The 20,482-nt window shown below is 41.8% G+C and overlaps 1 protein-coding gene across 8 annotated transcripts in view, besides 1 other annotated feature; it reads left to right on the top strand.

The window, feature by feature from the left end:
• FAXC (failed axon connections homolog, metaxin like GST domain containing) overlaps positions 1-12,118 on the top strand; it is a 78,896-nt gene extending 66,778 nt beyond the window's left edge. For 4 of the 8 annotated variants that reach the window (NR_144464.1, NM_001346533.1, NM_001346532.1 and 1 more), the window contains one exon: positions 1,826-12,118. Coding sequence is in view for 6 of the 8 variants with exons in the window: in NM_001346533.1 (NP_001333462.1) it covers positions 1,826-2,115 (290 nt within the window). In the remaining 2 variants the exon portion in view is untranslated. The remainder of the gene's footprint in view (positions 1-1,825) is intronic. The other 4 variants (NR_144463.2, NM_001346530.2, NM_001346531.2 and 1 more) reach the window with 1 other exon arrangement.
• Positions 16,020-16,220: a silencer, noted in NCBI's record as "peak5979 fragment used in MPRA reporter construct". NCBI's record gives its function as "represses an SCP1 promoter by STARR-seq MPRAs in K562 erythroleukemia cells {active_cell/tissue: K562}" and the evidence as "EXISTENCE:reporter gene assay evidence [ECO:0000049][PMID:32103011]".

Here is a 20,482-nt window from a genome sequence, read left to right as displayed (position 1 = left end):
GTGATTATCTTGGATCGATGAAATCATGGGTACTTTTTGTTTTCTTCTTTATGTATTTGTACAGTTTGTCTATACAGACTAATTCTAATTTTCCAAAATGAGAATATGTTATTTTCCTTAACAGAAAAATAAGATAGAGTAGTGACAGACTATAATCAACAGAACCATTAATATGGAAACAACCTAAACGACCTGTGATAGGGGATTCATAAAGACAAACTGAAGCTATGGTACAGCCATATAACATAGTGTGCACTTATCACTGTGATCAGAGTGTGACATTCAAAGATTTTTATTATACGTTGTTAAGTGGAAAAACATAGGATAGGAAAAAGAATATATAGTAAATCCTATATAGCACATGTAAATATATGTAAATGTATATGTAAATATGTACCTTTCTGGAAGAACATAAATGAAAATGTTATGGGGAATGCGATTATTGGTAATGCTTTTATTTTTTGCTTATCTGTTTTTTCTAATTTTCTGCACTAAAACATGGATTGTTTACACAATAAGTGAATGTTTATATAACTCAAATCCAAAGACATTCTTAGAGTAATAATGTCCTATAAGAGATAGTAGCAAATCATATATTTATAAGCAATGTTGCCATCTGCTGGATCACAGGGAGAAACTCACCCTCTTTCTTTTTCATTTGGAATTAGGAAATGAAGGCCAGGTAGAGTGGCATGTTTCAGACAAATGCCTAGACAGTAATAGTGACTTAACACAAGAGTTCTTTTGATTCACATAAAAAAGAAGTAATCTAGTGACCGAGTGGGACCCGGATCCTGAGTACCGCTGTTCAATTTCATGTAAAAATTTAAAAATATCTTATACTAAGTGTGTTTGCAGGCACACTTATCCATAAAGACAATTCTGAGTTATCCATTTTATGGATTTTTTGGGGGGAAAGGTTTATGTCCTAACATAACTTTTTTCAGCTGCTTGGCATGGTACTCAGCCCACAGCAACACTGCGAAAATTTGTGGAGTAAATGATTACTTCTGGCTGACTTAATGCAACCAACAGTTTGACGTATTTTTATGGAATATAAATTAATTTATATATGAACCAATCACAGCATTAGCTCTCTTGATATGTAAACATAAAATAATAAAATGCTTCCTAAAGCCAAATGATGGTAGTTTATCTGCCATTTTGGATAAACTACCTTGCCACTTCTCATCATCATCGGACTCACTTCTTCATTTCATTCAGCACACTCACTGAATGTAACTTTTCTCACTCACCGTTTTTATTATGTGCATAAAAACCTAAATATTTTCACAGTATCTCTATGGAAAAATACTGTTAATGTTTACCTTCCCCGTTATTCCAGTTTCCCAGAAAGCCTAGTGGCTGGATGTCATAGTTTGGGCCGCTGTTGCAAAATGCCATAAACTTGTTTGCTGGTAAACAAGAGGAATGTATTTCTCACAGTTGTGGAGTCTGGAAAAGTCTGGGAAATGCAGGATCATGGTGGGAAATGCAGGATCACGACTCTGGCCCATTCAGGATCTGGCGAGGGCCTGCCTGGGGGAGGGACCACTTCCTGCTTCCTGGACACAGTGCTGTCTTGCTGTGTCCTCACATGGTAAAAGGGGGAAGGCAGCTCTCTCAGGCCTCTGTTATGAGGTACTAGTACCACGAATGAGGGCTTGGGCCTCATGAACGAACCACCTCTTAAAGGCCCCACCTCCTTAGACCATCACATTGGGAGTCAGGATTTCAACATTGGAGTTTTGGGGCAACACAGACCATAGAAGTGGTAGACTGCTGCCTTTGAGAACTAATCCTTGCTTTCCTTACCACACTGCAGGTGAGCTGATCAACCTTGCCATGTACTGTGAGAGGATAAGGAGGAAATTTTGGCCAGAGTGGCACCACGATGATGACAATACCATCTATGAGTCTGAGGAGAGCAGCGAAGGCAGCAAAACCCACACCCCGCTGCTGGATTTTAGCTTTTACTCAAGGACAGAGACCTTTGAAGATGAGGGAGCAGAAAACAGTTTTTCCAGAACCCCAGACACAGATTTTACTGGACACTCACTCTTTGATTCGGATGTGGACATGGATGACTATACAGACCACGAACAGTGCAAGTGACGTCCAGCCTCACTGACCCTCTTCCTTGGGACCTGCCACTCCCTGGGTCGGTCCATTTTCCCAGGTAGCAATCCATCCGAGCTGGGAGGAGATCTTCGTGCTTGGCAGAGTTTTCACATGCTAACTGGACTATAGCAGCCTTATTTCTTTTTTGTACAAACAAAACACAGAACCATTCAGATGACTCCATTGAAAACAAACAGGCAAAAAATAATGTCAGCATGGTTCCTGAAATCCATTTTTGTTTTCATTAGAAAACTATTAATAATATTGTGTGGTAGAGCAGGTGTAAGAGCTGGTTGTCAGCTGATAGTTTTTATGATGATCCTCTTCAACCCTGAGGTCTTAATTGTGAGATGGATTCTTGAACCTCCTTCCTCCACCAGGATTTGAAGTAATGAGAGATATCATCAGAAAAATGTTTTACGGTGGCTGCTTGTACTTTATGTGTGTATATTGTATGTTGAGACATAAGTCAAATAAAATCCACAGATATTAAACGAACACCTACTATGTGCAAAGCACTGTGCTAGGTGCTAATCAGTATACATTTTATTCTAAGCCCTGCCAGTGACTAGCTGTGTGATTTTGAGCAAATCTCTTATTAACTATTGGGTGCCTCATTTCTCCCACCTGTAAAGTGGGGATGACAATACTCTCCACCTACCTACCTCACAGGGGTGTTGTGGGGATTCATGTGGTAACATTCGTACGGCGCTTTAAACCTCTTAGAAGTGGTGCGACATAAACACAGCATTTTATTCTTTATTGCACTTCATGCATGTGAAGATTTGAGGGCAAAGGAATTCCATATCCAGGCAACCACCACCACAGTCACCTGCAAAAGCTGAGCAGATGAAATACACACAAAGGTACACTTAGGACTTTGTCATGATTCCTTTCTGTAATCTTGGCTGAATCAAAATCTTTTGTTCAAAGAACATTGGAAATGTTTTTACAAATTATCGACAGCTACAAACAGTCTTCAATTCTACCATGTATTTGCAGAAAAGTGGTTCTTTCATTGCCTGAACTCACCCTGGCATGTTCTGTGTTGACTCCAGAGTGTTACGTTGCCTATGTTTGATTTATTTGAGAAGAATAAATCTCAGGTATATGGCAGGTTTCATAGAGTTGAAGGGAAAGTATTTCATTGATTTTTATAAGCAGAAGCCTGCCAACTTGTAATGTCTTTTTGAAAACAAACCTTGCAAAGATGTATTGAAAAGATGAAGTAGCAAGAGGATACTTGTATCAAAGCACTCTGTGCAGTGTTAGACTATATGCAGTTTTATTAATGCAACTTTTCTGGTGTTTTCAGCCACTGCCCAGTGAGAGGAGAGCAATGCTGAGAACAAGTCTTAATGTTTTTGCTGTCTCATCCCCGTTCTCTCTCTCTTTCCCTATAGTATTCGATGAACTGTTGGCTTACCCATATTTGTGAAGGCACCCTATTTCTAAAGATGAAGTTGTTGTTGTTGTTGTTGTTTTGACTTAGGACATTTTCCAGGGAAATATGGGGCAGAGATCCTGGGTGATGGCTGTGAGATTTGGGCTAGGAGAGCCAAGATTTACAATTGCAAACAAAACTGCTTTGCTTCTGACCAACATAAGGATTGCTCATTATGGGGTTAAAGAGGCACTTCTTAAAATACAGCAACTTCTGAGAAATCCATGCACTTTACTTGAAAAAAAAAAAACCTCTTTTTGAATATAGCATTTGCAAAACAATCTTAAAAGACTGCTGTAGATTCACAAAGAGGTAAAGGGAGGAGAGTTTTTCAGACTGCTTACCACTTAAGCAATTGTGTAGGGCATATGTAACTGGGAATACGTGCTGAGATACCCTAAGTTAGAAATTCTTATTCCATGGGAAACTTAGTTGTTAATATCTTATTAAAACCATTCTTATTTAAAGGGACTGTTTGATGCCTAATAAGAATGTGGTGGAGAAGATATGAATGGATAAGCCTGTTTGAGGCTGCAGCATCATTTGGGAGGACTGTTTGCCTCCCCTCTCTCTAGCAAGTGTGTTTTAAGGCCAACTGGTGGCATTTCTGTGTGACTAGGGAGACTCCTGGACTGAAAATATGAATATAATGAACAGGTGGACTGCAGACCTGTCTCCACAAAGCATGGGTTGTCCTTTTCCCACCACATTTTAGTAGAAAAGAAATGTATTTGAATTTTTTTCTATGAACAATCTATCTTACTGTACAGTACCAAGTGTGATGTATTTTCTCTCAAAGGATGATTAAGTTATGAGAATGTAGATTAATATATGTTTTTAATTTTATATTACTTGGAATACAAGTATGTGGAGAACCAACTTTGAAAATGAAGTTGTAAAATAAGTCATTCCATCCAGGTACCTCTTACAGGGGCATGAATGGACATTGCTATCTGGAGTCTTGGGCAATTGCCTGACAGCATATAACTGGGCATCAACATTTTGTAGGTGTTAATTTGATTTAGAGCCCTAGAATATGCCCCTGCTTTACTTTCCCAAGGCGGGTTATGCAAACAAAATAACCAAGACAAAGTCACCATAGTGTGAGTCTTTATCCGGAAGGATTTAATTTTATGTGCTTCATTCTTAAGCTACCCAGATTTGAAATGTTCTCCAATTTCATGAACAGGTGCTAATTATAGGAAAAAACTATAAGAAGTTAAGGGACATTTTGGTCATCTGGCTTCTTGTTCAAGTTCTGTGTTTCCTTTTTGCTGGAAGGTAACTTGAAGTATGTGATCTTTAATGTTAACAGATGCTTTTGGTTGGACAACAGACCCATAGGCTATTCGTTCTTTTTTTCCTGTCATTGTAAAAGTAAATCAAGCTCTTGCATCCACCTCTCTTTGCCCATCTGTACCCCCACTCAACAAGATTAATGAGCAGAATCATTGAGCTTTACTCTCCATCAGAACAGATATAAGGACAATCTATATTTATGCAATGATGAACTATATTGTCAGCATTTACCAATTTGTTGTTGTTACATAATGAATTGTAGAAAGTGACACTACCAAGGCTGTGGGCTACCCAGGAGACTAATCACGGACCTGGAACAACTTGGACTTGAATCAGACTGCAGTCTACTCCTCAAGTGAGCCCTGCCCATGTATACTGTGGTGTTAGGGTATATTTTTGTGAAATAGCTAAGGTTCAAGGAACAGACATACTAAGGATTTTGGCCTTGTGGGTCTTGCTTAGATTTGTTTGAGAGATAATGTAGAGTCATAGAAATGTATAGCTGTGCTAAAAATTAGCTGTAGAAAGCACCTTATTGGCTCAGTGTCACATACATACTTATTTGAAGGGCAGGACCAAAAACTGAGGTCAATATGGTTCTTTCCATTACACCACGTTGCCCTTGATGGTTTCTTTCTATTATACCACCTTGCCCTTGATGGTTCTTTCCATTATACCACTGTGGCTTTGTTGTCTTATAAAATGCATGTTACCTGAGAAGTCACCCTGTGTTCAGACAACCAGCACATCTCCAGCCATTCCCTGGTTGGAATCCTACTTCGCTTTTGTCCATGTCCTGTCAGCCTGGTCAAGACCAATACAAGAGACCTCTCATCAGTGCAGGGTATTGCTAGACTCTGAAGAATAGCAAGATGGATTCCCAAATCACCAAGACTCCTCATACTTCCTTATGTATCTTTTAAAGAACCCATGTCCATTCCCTCACTTGCTGAATATTTACAGAGCACCTACCCTGTGCCTGGCCCTGGGATCTACACTGGTTGTAGAGTGGCAAATAGAACAGCATAGAACTCTGATTTCAGGGCATCCTCTTTTGCCTAGACTTCTCTAGCCTCTTTTACGTACTTGGCCATTTCCCTGTTCCATTCCATCCACTACAAATGGATTAATCTTTCTAAAAAGCTCTTTGGCCCTGATGGGGTGTGGCATTGCCTCAGGGTGAGGGGCTACTCCTTAGGGTCTGGTGTTTTCACCTTTGTTCACCTTGTCTCCATAGCTCCTCCATGGGAGCCATCCAGTGCAGCCAGGTTGATCCATTTGCCATTGCCTAAAAAAGCCTCATGTGGCCCACCTCTGTGCCTCTGCTCATGCCAGTCCTTCTCCTGAAATGTTCTATTCTCTGCTCCACTGGCCCAAGTCATGCCCATCTCTCAAGGTCTGACTTCGTCAGCTTCACATGAAGGCTTCCCAGCTGATTATAATCTCTTCCTTTGAAAATGAAGCACTCATCACTTCCTTCCCTGAAGGTTGCATGGGAAAGATGCTCAGAGAGTGAGTCACATACCATTAAATAGTGAATTTTCACTTTTTGTTTGTCAGGAACTCCACTGATAATCCAACGAAAGTTCTATACCCTATTCCCAGAAAAACACATATATGCAAATACATAAAATGTTACATATAAATTCAGGAAATTTAGAGACCTCCTGAAATTATCCATGGTTTCCTCAGGGGGTTAATGGACCCCAGTTAAAGAGTCTTGTTCCCAAGAGTCTTTAAATGTTATCATTGTGTTTGTTCTTGTTTTTAACACAGCCAGAGAGAAGAAAAATTAGTACAGGCTATGCAAGCAAAAGTAATCTCTATTATCCATGTTCAGTATGTCTTGAGTGACAGAAAAGAAGAAAGAAGTGCTCTTAGGTTATTTGAGAAAATTTTGTTTTAGAGGTTTGGAATTTTGAAAGTCATAGGATTTTGTTGTTGTCCTTGTCATTTATCTTTTAACCACCCCCAAAATTGATTTATCAAAATGAGTTCAGGGCCAAGTGCGCTTCCTTTCAGCCCTGAAACCCACCGCTTCTGCATGGATAGGGCAACCAGCCTGGGCTGAAGGTGGGAGAGAAGAGGCTGGATTTTTCTTCCTTAAAGAAGAAAGGTCTGCACAATCAGGTTTTCCTGTATTCATTTATTCATTCATTCATAGAACAATTGTTGAGTGTATTTTCAATAAAAGGTTGGTGGCTTTTGTTGATAGGGAACAACTCAGGTTATTCTTCTTTCTTTCTTTTAGGGTTTTTTTTTTTTTTAAACAGAGTATGTTATTTTATTGTTCCTGACTATGACCCAGGATCCTTTGTTCTCCTTTATATGCAGTGCTATTTAAGTCAAACTAGAACTGATAAAAGTACACTCAATGACGAATACTTCCCAGGCTAAATGCTGGGCTCTGGGAACCCATCTTTAACAGGTCCAGGGATCAATTGCATGTGATTGTGAAGTGCTTGACCTTTATTCAGTTGCTTCCAGTGGTCTGGATATAACTTGGGAAGTTCAAAAGGATTCCCTTGTTGGGTGAGGAGGGACGGGCCTCTTACCTGTAAGACTCTTGCTACTGTCAGGCGTGGATGCGAACATCTGTGGCATGTTTTCCTCATCTGAATTCCTTACCCAGAAACTCAGATTTTTGGTCCCTGACTTTCAAGAATATCTTAAGGATATTTAAGTTTCCTTAATCTTTGAGATGAGACTGCTGGAACCAGCAACGTTAGCCTTGCCAGTTAGAGATGATTACAGAGGGCACTGAAGCATAGATTTAAAAAAAAGGGGTTCAGCTGTTTTGGAGCTGACAGGGTGACCTCCTCAACCATTCTGCTTTCGCCGAAGCAAGGAACTTGTCCCCAGACCTAGACCCTCTAAAACTCCTGCTATTGGCTGGACCATGACAAACTAGGATGCTCAAATTTCATAAGGATGATTGCCTTAAATTGTAAAATTGGTAGACAAATAAAGGGGACCATTGCAATAATAAAACGAATAACCTACAGATATGGTCTAGCAGCACCAAACTGACCATTTCAGTAGGAAAACAAGTAATCTGGAGTAAAAGATGGATACGGTACTTTGGTGTTCTGTACACAATAATTTTAGCAAAGAATTTAATGGCCATCATGCATTTTTGAAACAATCCACTAACCATAAAGCAATATATGTGTATCATAATCAGTTAACTTTATAAAAAGTTGTGCTACTAAATGTGACTAATTCACCTCCCACCCCCCATTGGCATGCATTTATTTTTATTTATTTGTTTTTATTTGTGGCTCTGGAATAGAGTAACTTTCACTTATTAGTAATGCTTAAGCTTTTTTCCTTATTTAATACCTTTTTTGTTTTTAGTTACCCCATGGCTTCTAAAAAAATAAGATCCAACTTCTGAATTGCCATGTTAGTTAATGGTGGCTAAACAGATAGCAAAGGGAATATAATATAATTGTTCATTGAGGGCTAAAAAAGAGGAATGCTCTGAATATTTACTGTCTTCCTCCTCTTTAAAAAATAATCAATGACTTTCCTCTTCCATTGTTCAGAATCAGAAATGTTCTTTCGTATTTGCTTCTCTTCTACAAGAGATTATATTTGGCTTATTAAAATATAAACCATGTCCAAATGATTGTATTTTTATCTTTAACAAATTATGCCTGGGATTTGTTTTTTACAGAAATAAGGCTAAAGGCTTCTGCTTCAGTAGGGGTGACATGTTTACTCCTGTAAAATGATTTTAATGTTACTCCTGTCAAAATGATTTTATTGCAAGTAATAAGTCTTGTGGGATCAGAACAAGCTTATTGTAAACACATGTTTTTTTCCCAGTGATCTACATCATGCCAAATGTCTGACAACTCAAATGTTGATGACAGCGATGGTTTTTCCATGGTGAAGTTTGGAAAACTGAGGGTCTGAGTCCCTCATTTGGTGGTATTAGAATTTAACTGAGTAGGAGGAGAGAAGAAAACAGTAACAAATGTCAAAATTTCAAGCAACCATGTGGTATGGCTGTGGTAGAGATGTATCAGGCAATTGAAAGTTTTCTAGGTGGTGCCATCTTGCTAAAATAATAAAAAGTACAGGTTTATAAATCAAAAACAAGTGCAATCTATGTAGGGAAGGATTGTCTATGGATATACAAGTGGCCAGTGCAGGAAGTGAAGTAACATTTATCTTTATCTTAATTTCTATGCTCATGTCCCCCATTCCCCTTCTGAAGCCAGGCCTGGGACCTTAGATAGCAGCTTAGAGGGTCTGGCCCTGATACATTTACTCCTTTAATTTTGGAATTTCCTTCTAGTCTCTCAAGAGTGTTTGTGGCATATATTTTTCATTTTATAAATATAAAATTGTACAAAGTAATGTACATTTTGTTTTAGAGAAGTCTTTTAAATGTTTGCAGACAGCCCAGATCGTCCATCCCTATTTAGGCAGTGGTCTCCAAACGTTTATGTTTATTCACCCTATTAGTAAAACTTTCTGAGCATGCCCCTCCATGTATTTATTTATGATATATATGTATATATGTATACACTGCTATATATGTATATACTGTTTTACTGATGTAAACATTAAAAACCATAGCAAACATAGACATTTTAAAAGTATATTTTCTGGTCCTCAATGGAGTTTAGAGAATGGGACAAGGAGTCTTTAGGCGTAGCACCCAGATGCCTGTAATTGATTAGAGAATGTGTATATACCATTTGTGGCAAAGCAGATATAAAACAGGCATGGACGCATGATTTTAGGTCAAGGTATTTAATTATTTTTACTTAAAATAGGCATTTTTGGTTGGGAAAGAGAAGGATGAACAATTTGATGTCACCTTTAAGACTGATGTTTTTAATTCTGCTTTTGGGACCACTTGATCTAGAATGCCTTGAAAATTCCAGAAAGATTTAACAACACACTGAGGTAAGCAAAACAAGAAAAGAAAGTAGGGGTGAGGTGATACCCAGATAATGCAAATGCAGGATGTATTGTCTGTGAATTTCAGCATCAATCTGAAAAACATGTTTTGATAATGCCTGATAATTCATCATCTCACTGATTACATGTCTTTTTTTCTATTTGTTTATAATCTTGTGTCTTCAAATGTGTGGAAGATGTGCAGACTTATTTTTAGGTATCTGAGATAGGAAGGGCCAATGTTGGCATAATTTGAACCCACATTTCGGGGCTAATGGGCGGACACCACCTGGAAACACTTACCTGCACCCTCTGTTTTGCAATCACAATGATTAGCATCTTGCTGAATGATGACCCCAATGTGAAGATGGCATTTCAGTGTTTATTTCTGGATCTATGAGTTACTTTAGCAGAGTTATTAGTAGTTTATAAAGCCATATTTAAACTTGTACACTTGATTGTAAGATAGATTTGAATTGTGCACTATGTTGACTACTGTATATAAATGTGGAAATTCTGTATATTTGGTCTTAATGCTATATGTATTTGATGTGTAAATGATAACTAATGGATATGAAATAGTTTTCTGTGAATGTCTTTCTTCCAATTTACTTCTCTTTTGCAAATTTGAATGTTTAAACTTCAGGCTCATGGGGAAAATCTGAAATGTTTGCATCTAATATACTGTTAAGTGGTGGTCTCTTAGATGACTGGGAGAGTATTTTAGTTGTAAGGCTCTTGTATAATTAAAACAGAGGTAATGAATTTTTTAGGCATATAACTTTGATAGAATTTCAAGTGAGTGGCTTTTAAGAAGAAAAACAGATCTCTGGAATATGCTGTCCCATCCTCTCCTGCTTTTATTTCATGCCCAGTGTGCCTCAGAGTGTTACGAAGTGTGAGAACCACTGGTAGAGAGAAGACAAGGAGGAGAGGGAGAGCTGGGAGCACATGTTGAGACCTTTACTATGGCTAGGCCTTATAATAGACCAATTTCCCCTTGTATAAATATTGTCTCAATTAGGCAGGGTGCAGTGGCTCATGCCTGTAATCCCAGGACTTTGGGAGGCCAAGGTGGGCAGATCACCTGAGGTTGGGAGTTTGAGACCAGCCTGACCAACATGGAGAAACCCTGTCTCTACTAAAAATACAAAATTAGCCGGGCATGGTGGTGCATGCCTGTAATCCCAGCTACTTGGGAGGCTGAGGCAGGAGAATCGCTTGAACCCAGGAGGTGGAGGCTGCAGTGAGCTGACTTTGTGCCATTGACTCCAGCCTGGGCAACAAGAGCAAAACTCCATCTCAAACACACACACACACACACACACACACACACACACACACACACACATATAGTCTCAATTAGTTTTCATACCTCTTCAATAAAGTAATTATTGTTCCCAAATTACAGATGAAGAAAGACGTTTGGGATGATAAACTGGCATATGGTAATATGGCCATGATATGCTCAAGTCTTTAGGGTCAGAGATTCACAGCAAGATTTTGGAAATTCAAATCTTACTATGAAGTGATTCACACATGTGTATGGTAATGAACCTTAAAGGATAGCTGGGCCTATAGGCATGTCAAGATCTATAGAGACATGCAGGATGTTTCAAATTCTATCTTAAAATTTGACCAAATCTTTGGTCAAATAATAATACTGTTACTCAAATATTAGCTTTTTACCATTTAGAGCAAATTACAATCAGGTAACATTCAAAATTCTAACCCTCCCTTCCCAACATGGGAATATCTATTAAGTAGGAAATGAGAGAACCCCCTAATTTCCCATTTCAGTGATAATACTGATTGAGTATCTCTTATCTGAAGTGCTTGGGACCAGAAGTGTTTTGGATCTGGGTTTTTCTCAGATTTTGAAATATTTGCATTATACCAGTTGAGTATCCCAAAATCAAAACTGGAAATCTGAAATGATCCAATGTCCGTTTCCTTTGAGTGTCATGTTAGTGCTCAAAAAGTTTTGGATTTTGGAGCGTTTCAGATTTTGGATTTTTGGATTTGGGATGCTCGACCTGTAGTTTGGTTTTCATCTTTTTAGACTCCATTTCTCTTGACCTATAAATCCTATCAGCCCTGTTTATTAACATAGACCCTAGTCAGAAATACTTTGAAATAGATCTACATCTACTTCAACGTCAGTTGGTTCCACACCCTTCTAGAACTTGTGTGGGGTCCTGGACTTCCCGTCTGTCCTGTTAGGGAAGCTTTGCTGTCCTAGCTTTCAGGACTCATCAGAGGGAAGAGGGTCATTTACCTTTCCAATGTGCTGTGATCTCAGAGTCGTTAAAATACATGTTTTGCTGCCATTTGTACTGTTTCTTGACTCAATGTTTCATATTTCTGTTCTTCTTTCCTTTTAGAGGAGAGGCGGAACAGCTGGTCTCCCTGCTCTCTCAGAAGCTGCTTGATTTGTTTCTAGATGACGCCACTGGCAGGCACTCATTAGATCTTTCACAGCTGGGCTGGTTCCCATTAGCAACAGACTTTTCTTTTAAAAACTGTCAAGGTCAGAGCAGCTTATCCTTTGGATAAAAGTGGATTTTGGAGGAAAAAAAAAAGAGGAAAAAGAACCAGCTTCCTTCCTTACGGAATTAGCGTGTTGCTGCCCCGTATGCCTAAGAGGTCTATTTTAGTGCCAGCGTTCTTGTTATGAAGACTTAGGGGGTCGTCTCCAGTGGAGGGACTGTTCGGATTGGAGGGTTACGTTCACCTACCGCAGGGTATGTTGGGCCTGGGCAAACACACTGGGTAACCTGTGCTCAACATTATATACAGGTAAATCTGGATGAAAACAAACATGAAAGGCAGCTCCGGAAGGGCAGAGGGTTGAGGGAGGGGCTGAGTGTGGGAGGGGGCAGGCCCAGGCCCCTTCCCCACTCTACCTGTTTCCAGGCATTGATTGTATGGGGACCTGGCTACCTCCTTCTCCACTGTCACAGGCCTCCTCCCAACTTTAGCTTGGGATTTCAAAGGAAGATGGTGGAAATCCTGTGTGACTGTCAGTCAAAAGTCAAATAGTCCTGATTCACTGGTGGCACAGCTTGGGAAGGGGGGTAAGTGAGGAGGAAGTATGCAGGGCCAGATTCTACGGAAGTCATCCCTTTGGAGTGAGGAGGGTGTTTGAGCAGGGGACTAACACAATGGGAGAGTATTTAAATAAGATTCATCTGAGGACATCCTGGATATAGTCAGAGAAGAGGCCATGGCGGAACAATGAGACCTGCTGATTCCTGGGGCTCAGAGTGAAGCTAAAGGCATGCAAGGGAGAGGGGATGGTGGAGATAGGGAGAGGGAGAGAGCAGCCACATGCACAAGGAAACACTGAGGCTCCTGGGATGTGAGGAGCAGCAGTGGAGAGAGAGATGATGAAAATGAAGGTAATGCTTAGGCTCCTACCCCAGGAGACTGGGGATGTAGTGATGCTGCTGTCAGACATGGGAAATGTGGAGGAAGGGGAATGGGTTTGCAGGGAAAATGGAGTTTCGTTTTAGTCACACTGAATTTGAGGATCCAGTAACAAATCACAGGCCTAGAACTTGTGCTGGGGTAAAGTGAAGCCACAGCCTATGAAGGGATAGTTAAAGCAAATAAGCTGGAGAGCTAGAGACAGAATAAAAATTACTAGCACCTTATATTTGTATTATGTTTAATTGTCTTTAAGATATTGTAACTCCTGGAGCATGTCACTATCATTTTCTTATAAAAAATGAGGGGGCCTGTAGGTTGATCTTTAAGATACCTTCTAGCTCAAACCTCCTTCCATCCTCCCCTGAAGTTGAGTACTACTTCTCTATAAACACTAATTCTACCTCCTGCTTTGCTGATTCTCATATCAATGAAGAGTTTATTGACCAAATCAACTAATAATAGCTAACATTTACATATCACTTACCAAGTGCTAAACACTGTGTTCCTTGCAAGCTACATATATCAACTCATTGAATTCTCACAACAACAAAATAAGTGCTATCATTGTTACCATTGTCATTGTCACCATTATCACCATCATGTGGCTCCATCGTCATCACCACCATCACCATTGTCACCATCACCACCACCACCACGACCACCACCACCATCCTCACCGTCACCATCACCATCATCATCATCATCTCAACAGATTAGAAACTGAGGCAAAGTGAGGTTACATAACTCACTGGAGATCTCATGCCAAGTGAACAACAGGGCTGGGGTTTGAAAGCAAAGAGTCTAGGTTTAGGAATGTAGCTTTTACATTCTGCACAATACTAGGTCTACACCACTCTATCTCTTCTGCTATCAGACCACACAGAAGGTAGAAGGCTGTGAAGATTGGGAGGTGCTTGTGTTGAACCAGGAGTGATTTTACTTCATCAACTTTTGTTAAATCATCCTCACTTCGTAATGCAGGGTTTGCCTTCTTACAGAACCCATGCAGATCTGTATCATTGAGAGGTGAAGCCGGCTGGGCTTCTGGGTCAGGTGGGGACTTGGGGAACTTTCTGTCTAGCTAAAGGATTGTAAATGCACCAATCAGCACTCTGAGTCTAGCTAAATGTTTGTAAATGCACCAATCAGCACTCTGTAAAAACGCACCAATCAGTGCTCTGTGTCTAGCTAAAGGTTTGTAAATGCACCAATCAGTACTCTGTAAAAACGGACTAATCAGCACTCTGTAAAACGGACCAATCAGCGCTCTGTAAAATGGACCAATCAGCAGGACGTGGGCAGGGCCAAATAAGGGAAAAAATGCTGGCCACCTGAGCCAGCAGTGGCAACCCGCTAGGGTCCCCTTCCACACTGTGGAAGCTTTGTTCTTTCGCTCTTCACAATAAATCTTGCTGCTTCTCACTCTTTGTGTCCACACCGCCTTTAAGAGCTGTGACACTCACTGTGAAGGTCTGTGGCTTCACTCCTGAAATCAGCGAGACCATGAACCCACCAAGAGGAATGAACAACTCTGGACGCGCCACCTTTAAGAACTGTAACATTCACTACGAAGGTCTGCGGATTCACTCCTGAAGTCAGCGAGACCATGAACGCACCGGAAGGAATGAACAGCTCTGGACGTGCCACTTTTAAGAGCTGTAACACTCACTGTGAAGGTCTGCGGCTTCACTCCTGAACTCAGCAAGACCACAAACCCACCAGAAGGAAGAAACTCTGGACACATCTGAACATCTGAAGGAACAAACTCTGGACACACCATCTTTAAGAATTGTAACACTCACCGCGAGGGTCTGCGGCTTCATTCTTGAAGTCAGCAAGACCAAGAACCCACTGGAAGGGACCAACTCTAGACACATTTTGGTGACCCAGATGGGACTATTGCCTATCGCCAAGCAGTGAGTACCATCAGACCCCTTTCACTTGCTATTTTGTTCTATTTTTCCTTAGAATTTGGGGGCTAAATACCAGGCACCTGTTAAAAGCTGGCCAGTTAAAAGCGACTAGCACGGCCACCAGACTTAAGACATGGTTGTCAGGCTTTCTGGGAAAGGGCTCTCTAACAACCCCCGACTCTTTGGAATTGGGAGTGTTGGTTTGCCTGGAACCAGCTTCCGCTTTTCCTGTACTTCTGGGCTGAGCCAAGGGTTGGCAGAGACAAAAGCCATTCAGCTCTGGGGTCCCGACAACAAGTTGGTTGACCCTGCAGCCATGAGCAGAACTCTCAAAGTCATGTCGCCCAAGCGAGACTCACCCATCTATCCTATCTATCCTGATGCTTGCCTCCTGGGTCCTAATGCCTGTCAGACAAACTTCCTCCCGCCTTTCTTCTCCGAGGCTAGTCCTGCTTCTAAAAACCACTCCCTGTCTCTGGTGCTTTTCTAGTTTCTCCTGTAAGAATGATTTCTAGTATAAACTTCAGGACTCTGTTACCTTCTTTAGGCACCCGGGCTCACCAACCAGAAAGACATAATTTTTGCCCAAAGCCCCATTGTAGGGGGGACTATCTGGAATTTTAGGATCCCTCCTCAGAAAAGCAGGCCTAACAAAAGCTATTCCTGAAGCTAGGATTTGGGGAGCCTCAGAAATTGTATCCTTCCTATTCGTATAAGTGAGGACAAAAGGCATCACTCTTCTAACTCTGGAGATCCCTTCCCTCCCTCAGGGTATGGCCCTTCACTTCATTTTTGGGGCATAACATCTTTATAGGACATGGGTAAGGTGTCAATACTAACAGGAGAATGCTTAGGACTCTGCTGCATCAGTAAGCACAACTATTCTGATCAGCAGGGTCCAGGGACTGTTGTGGGTTCTTGGGCAAGAGGTGTTTCTGCTGCTACGTCAGTGAGGGCGATTATTCCCATCAGCAGGGCCCAGGGACCGTTGCGGGTTCTTGGGCAGGGGGAGAAACAAACAAACCAAAACCACTGGCGGTTTTGTCTTTCAGATGGGAAACACTCAAGCATCAACAGGCTCATTCTTGAAATGCATCCTAAGCCATTGGGACCAATTTGACCCACAAACCCTGAAAAAGACCTGGCTCATTTTTTTCTGCACTACAGCTTGGCCCCAATATTATCTCTCTGATGGGGAAAAATGGCCACCTGAGGGAAATATAAATTACAATACTATCCTGCAGCTTGACCTTTTCTGTAAGAGGGAAGGCCAATGGAGTGAAATACCTTATGTCCAAGCTTTCTTTTCATTGAAGGAGAATACAAAACTATGCAAAGCTTGCAATTTACATCCTACAGGAGGACTTCACAGCTTATCCCCATATCCTAGCCTCCCTATAGCTCCCCTTCCTATTAATGATAAGCCTCCTCTAATCTCCTCCACCCGGAAGGAAATAAGCAAAGAAATCTCCAAAGGACCACAATCCCCCCTGGGCTATTGGTTATGTCCCCTTCAAGCTGTGGGGGGAGGGGAGTTTGGCCCAACCTGGGTACATGTCCCCTTCTCCCTCTCTGATTTAGAGCAGATCAAGGCAGATTTGGGGAAGTTTTCAGATGATCCTGATAGGTACATAGATGTCATACAGGGTCTAGGGCAAACCTTTGATCTCACTTGGAGAGATGTCTTGCTATTGTTAGATCAAACACTGGCCTTTAATGAAAAGAATGAGACTTTAGCTGTAGCCTGAGACTTTGGAGATACCTGGTATCTCAGTCAAGTAAATGATAGAATGACAGCTGAAGAAAGGGACAAATTCCCTACCAGTCAGCAAGCTGTCCCCAGTATGGATCCCCACTGGGACCTCGACTCAGATCGTGGGGACTGGAGTCGTAAACATCTGTTGACCTATGTCCTAGAAGGAATAAGGAGAATTAGGAAAAAGCCCATGAATTGTTCAATAATGTCTACCATAACTCAGGGAAAGGAAGAAAATCCTGCCTTCCTTGAGCAGCTATGGGAGGCCTTAAGAAAATATACTCCCCAGACACCTGACTCACTCGAGGGTCAATTGATTCTAAAAGATAAGTTTATTACCCAATCAGCTGCAGATATCAGGATATAGCTCCAAAAGCGAGCCCTGGGCCCTGAACAAAATCTGGAGGCATTATTAAACCTAGCAACCTTGGTGTTCTATAATAGGGACCAAGAGGAACAGGCCCAAAAGGAAAAGCGAGATCAGAGAAAGGCCACAGCCTTAGTCATGGCCCTCAGACAAACAAACCTTGGGGGTTCAGAGAGGACAGAAAATGGAGCAGGCCAATCACCCAGTAGGGCTTGTTATCAGTGTGGTTTACAAGGACACTTTAAAAAAGATTGTCCAACGAGAAACAAGCCTCCCCCTCGTCCATGTCCACTATGCTGAGGCAATCACTGGAAAGCACACTGCCCCAGAGTGCAATGGTTCTCTGGGCCAGAAGCCCCCAACCAGATGATCCAACAACAGGACTGAGGGTGCCCAGGGCAAGTGCCAGCTCATGTCCATGTCATCACCCTCACTGAGCCCCGGGTATGTTTAACCATTGAGGGCCAGGAAATTGACTTCCTCCTGGATACCGGCACGGCCTTCTCAGTGTTAATCTCCTGTCCTGGACAACTGTCATCAAGGTCCATTACCATCTGAGTAATCCTGGGACAGCCTGTAACCAGGTATTTCTCCCACCTTCTCAGTTGTAACTGGGAGACTTTGCTCTTTTCACATGCCTTTCTTGTTATGCCTGAAAGTCCCACCCTTATTAAGGAGGGATATATTAGCCAAGGCTGGAGCTATTATCTACATGAATATGGGGAACAAGTTACCCATTTATTGTCTCCTACTTGGGAGGGAATCAACCCTGAAGCCTGGGCATTGGAAGGACAATTTGGAGGGGCAAAAAATGCCCACACAGTCCAAATCAGGCTAAAAGATCCCACCACATTTCCTTATCAAAGGCAATATCCCTTAAGGCCTGAAGCTCATAAAGGATTACAGGATATTGTTAAACATTTAAAAGCTCAAGGCTTAGTAAGGAAATGCAGCAGTCCCTGCAACACCCCAATTCCAGGAGTATAAAAACAGAATGGTCAGTGGAAACTAGTGCAAGATCTTGGACTCATCAATGAGGCAGTAATTCCTCTATATCCAGTTGTACCCAACCCCTATACCCTGCTTTCTCAAATACCAGAGGAAGCAGAATGGTTCAGTGTTCTGGACCTCAAGGATGCCTTCTTCTGTATTCCCCTGCACTCTGACTCCCAGTTTCTCTTTGCCTTTGAGGATCCCACAGACCACACATCCCAACTTACGTGGACCGTCTTGCCTCATGGGTTTAGGGATAGCCCTCCTCTGTTTGGTCAGGCACTGGCCCAAGATCTAGGCCACTTCTCAAGTCCAGGCACTCTGGTCCTTCAGTATGTGGATGATTTACTTTTGGCTACCAGTTCAGAAGCCTCATGCCAGCAGGCTACTCTAGATCTCTTGAACTTTCTAGCTAATCAAGGGTACAAGACATCTAGGTTGAAGGCCCAGCTTTGCCTACAGCGGGTCAGATATCTAGGCCTAATCTTAGCCAGAGGAACCAGGGCCCTCAGCAAGGAATAAATACAGCCTATACTGGCTTATCCTCACCCTAAGACATTAAAACAGTTTCAGGGGTTCCTTGGAATCACTGGCTTTTGCCAACTATGGATCCCCAGATACAGCGAGATAGCCAGGCCCCTCTATACTCTAATCAAGGAGACCAAGAGGGCAAATACTCATCTAGTAGAATGGGAACCAGGGGCAGAAACAGCCTTCAAAACCTTAAAGCAGACCCTAGTAAAAGCTCCAGCTTTAAGCCTTCCAGAAAGCAGGGATAGCTCTTGGAGTCCTTACCCAGACTCGTGGGACAACCCCACAACCAGTAGCATACCTAAATAAGGAAATTGATGTAGTAGCAAAAGGCTGGCCTCACTGTTTATGGGTAGTTGCGGTGGTGGCCATCTTAGTGTCAGAGGCTATCAAAATAATACAAGGAAAGGACCTCACTGTCTGGACTACTCATGATGTAAATGGCATACTAGGTGCCAAAGGAAGTTTATGGATATCAGGCAACCACCTGCTTAGATACGAGATGCTACTACTTGAGGGACCGGTGCTTCAAGTGCATACATGTGCAGCCATCAGCCTTGCTGTTTTTCTCCCAGAGGATGGGGAGCCAGTCGAGCATGGCTGCCAACAGGTTGTAGTCCAGACTTATGCCGCCTGAGATCATCTCTTAGAAGTCCCCTTAGCTAATCCTGACCTTAACCTATATACCGATGGAAGTTCATTTGTGGAAAATGGGATATGAAGGGCAGGTTATGCCATAGTTGATGTAACCATACTTGGAAGTAAGCCTCCTCCCCCAGGGACCAGTGCCCAGTTAGCAGAACTAGTGGCACTTACCCGAGCCTTAGAACTGGGAAAGGGAAAAAGAATAAATGTGTACACAGATAGCAAGTATGCTTATCTAATCCTACATGCCCATGCTGCAATATGGAAAGAAAGGGAGTTCCTAACCTCTGGGTGAACCCCCATTAAATACCACAAGGAAATTATGGAGTTATTGCATGCAGTGCAAAAACCCAAGGAGGTGACTGTCTTACACTGTGGAACCCATCAAAAAGGGGAAGGAGAGGGGAGAACACCAGCATAAGTGGCTAGCAGAGGCAGGGAAAGACCAGCAGAAAGAAAGAGACAGAACGTCAGAGAGAGAGAGGAAGAGGCAGACAAAGAGGGAGTCAGAGAGAGAGAGACAGAGAGACAGAAAGTCAAGGAGAGAGAGGAACAGACAAAGAAGGAGTCAGAAAGAGAGAGACAAAGAAGTCAGAGAGAAAGAAAGAGAGATGGAAGTAGTAAAGAAAAAACAGTGTACCCTATTCCTTTAAAAGCCAGGGTAAATTTAAAACCTATAATTGATAATTGAAGGTCTTCTCCGTGACCCTATAACACTCCAATACCACCTTGTTGTCAGTGCAAACAAGGGCATAGCCTGAAAGCACTGAGGCCACTGACAACCCATAGCCTTTCTGTCAAAAATCCTTAACCTAGCAGGTTTCCTAACAGGGATCTAAATCTTAATTAATTACCATACAAAGGTCCAACCAGATCTAGGAGGAAATCCCTTCAGGACAGGACATTAGATGGTTCCTCCCAGGCAATTAAGGAAAAAAAAAAAAAGACACAACGGGTATTCAGTAAGTGATAAGGAACTCTTGTAGAAGCAGTTAGGAAAATTGCCTAATAATTGGTCTGCTCAAACATGCCTGCGAGTTGTTTGCACTCAGCCAAATCTTAAA

This window comes from Homo sapiens, chromosome 6, assembly GCF_000001405.40.
Source record: "Homo sapiens chromosome 6, GRCh38.p14 Primary Assembly".
Classification (NCBI taxonomy): Eukaryota; Metazoa; Chordata; class Mammalia; order Primates; family Hominidae; genus Homo; species Homo sapiens.
The sequence above is the reverse complement of the archived record's forward strand: the minus strand, read 5'-3'. Positions and strand labels throughout refer to the sequence as shown.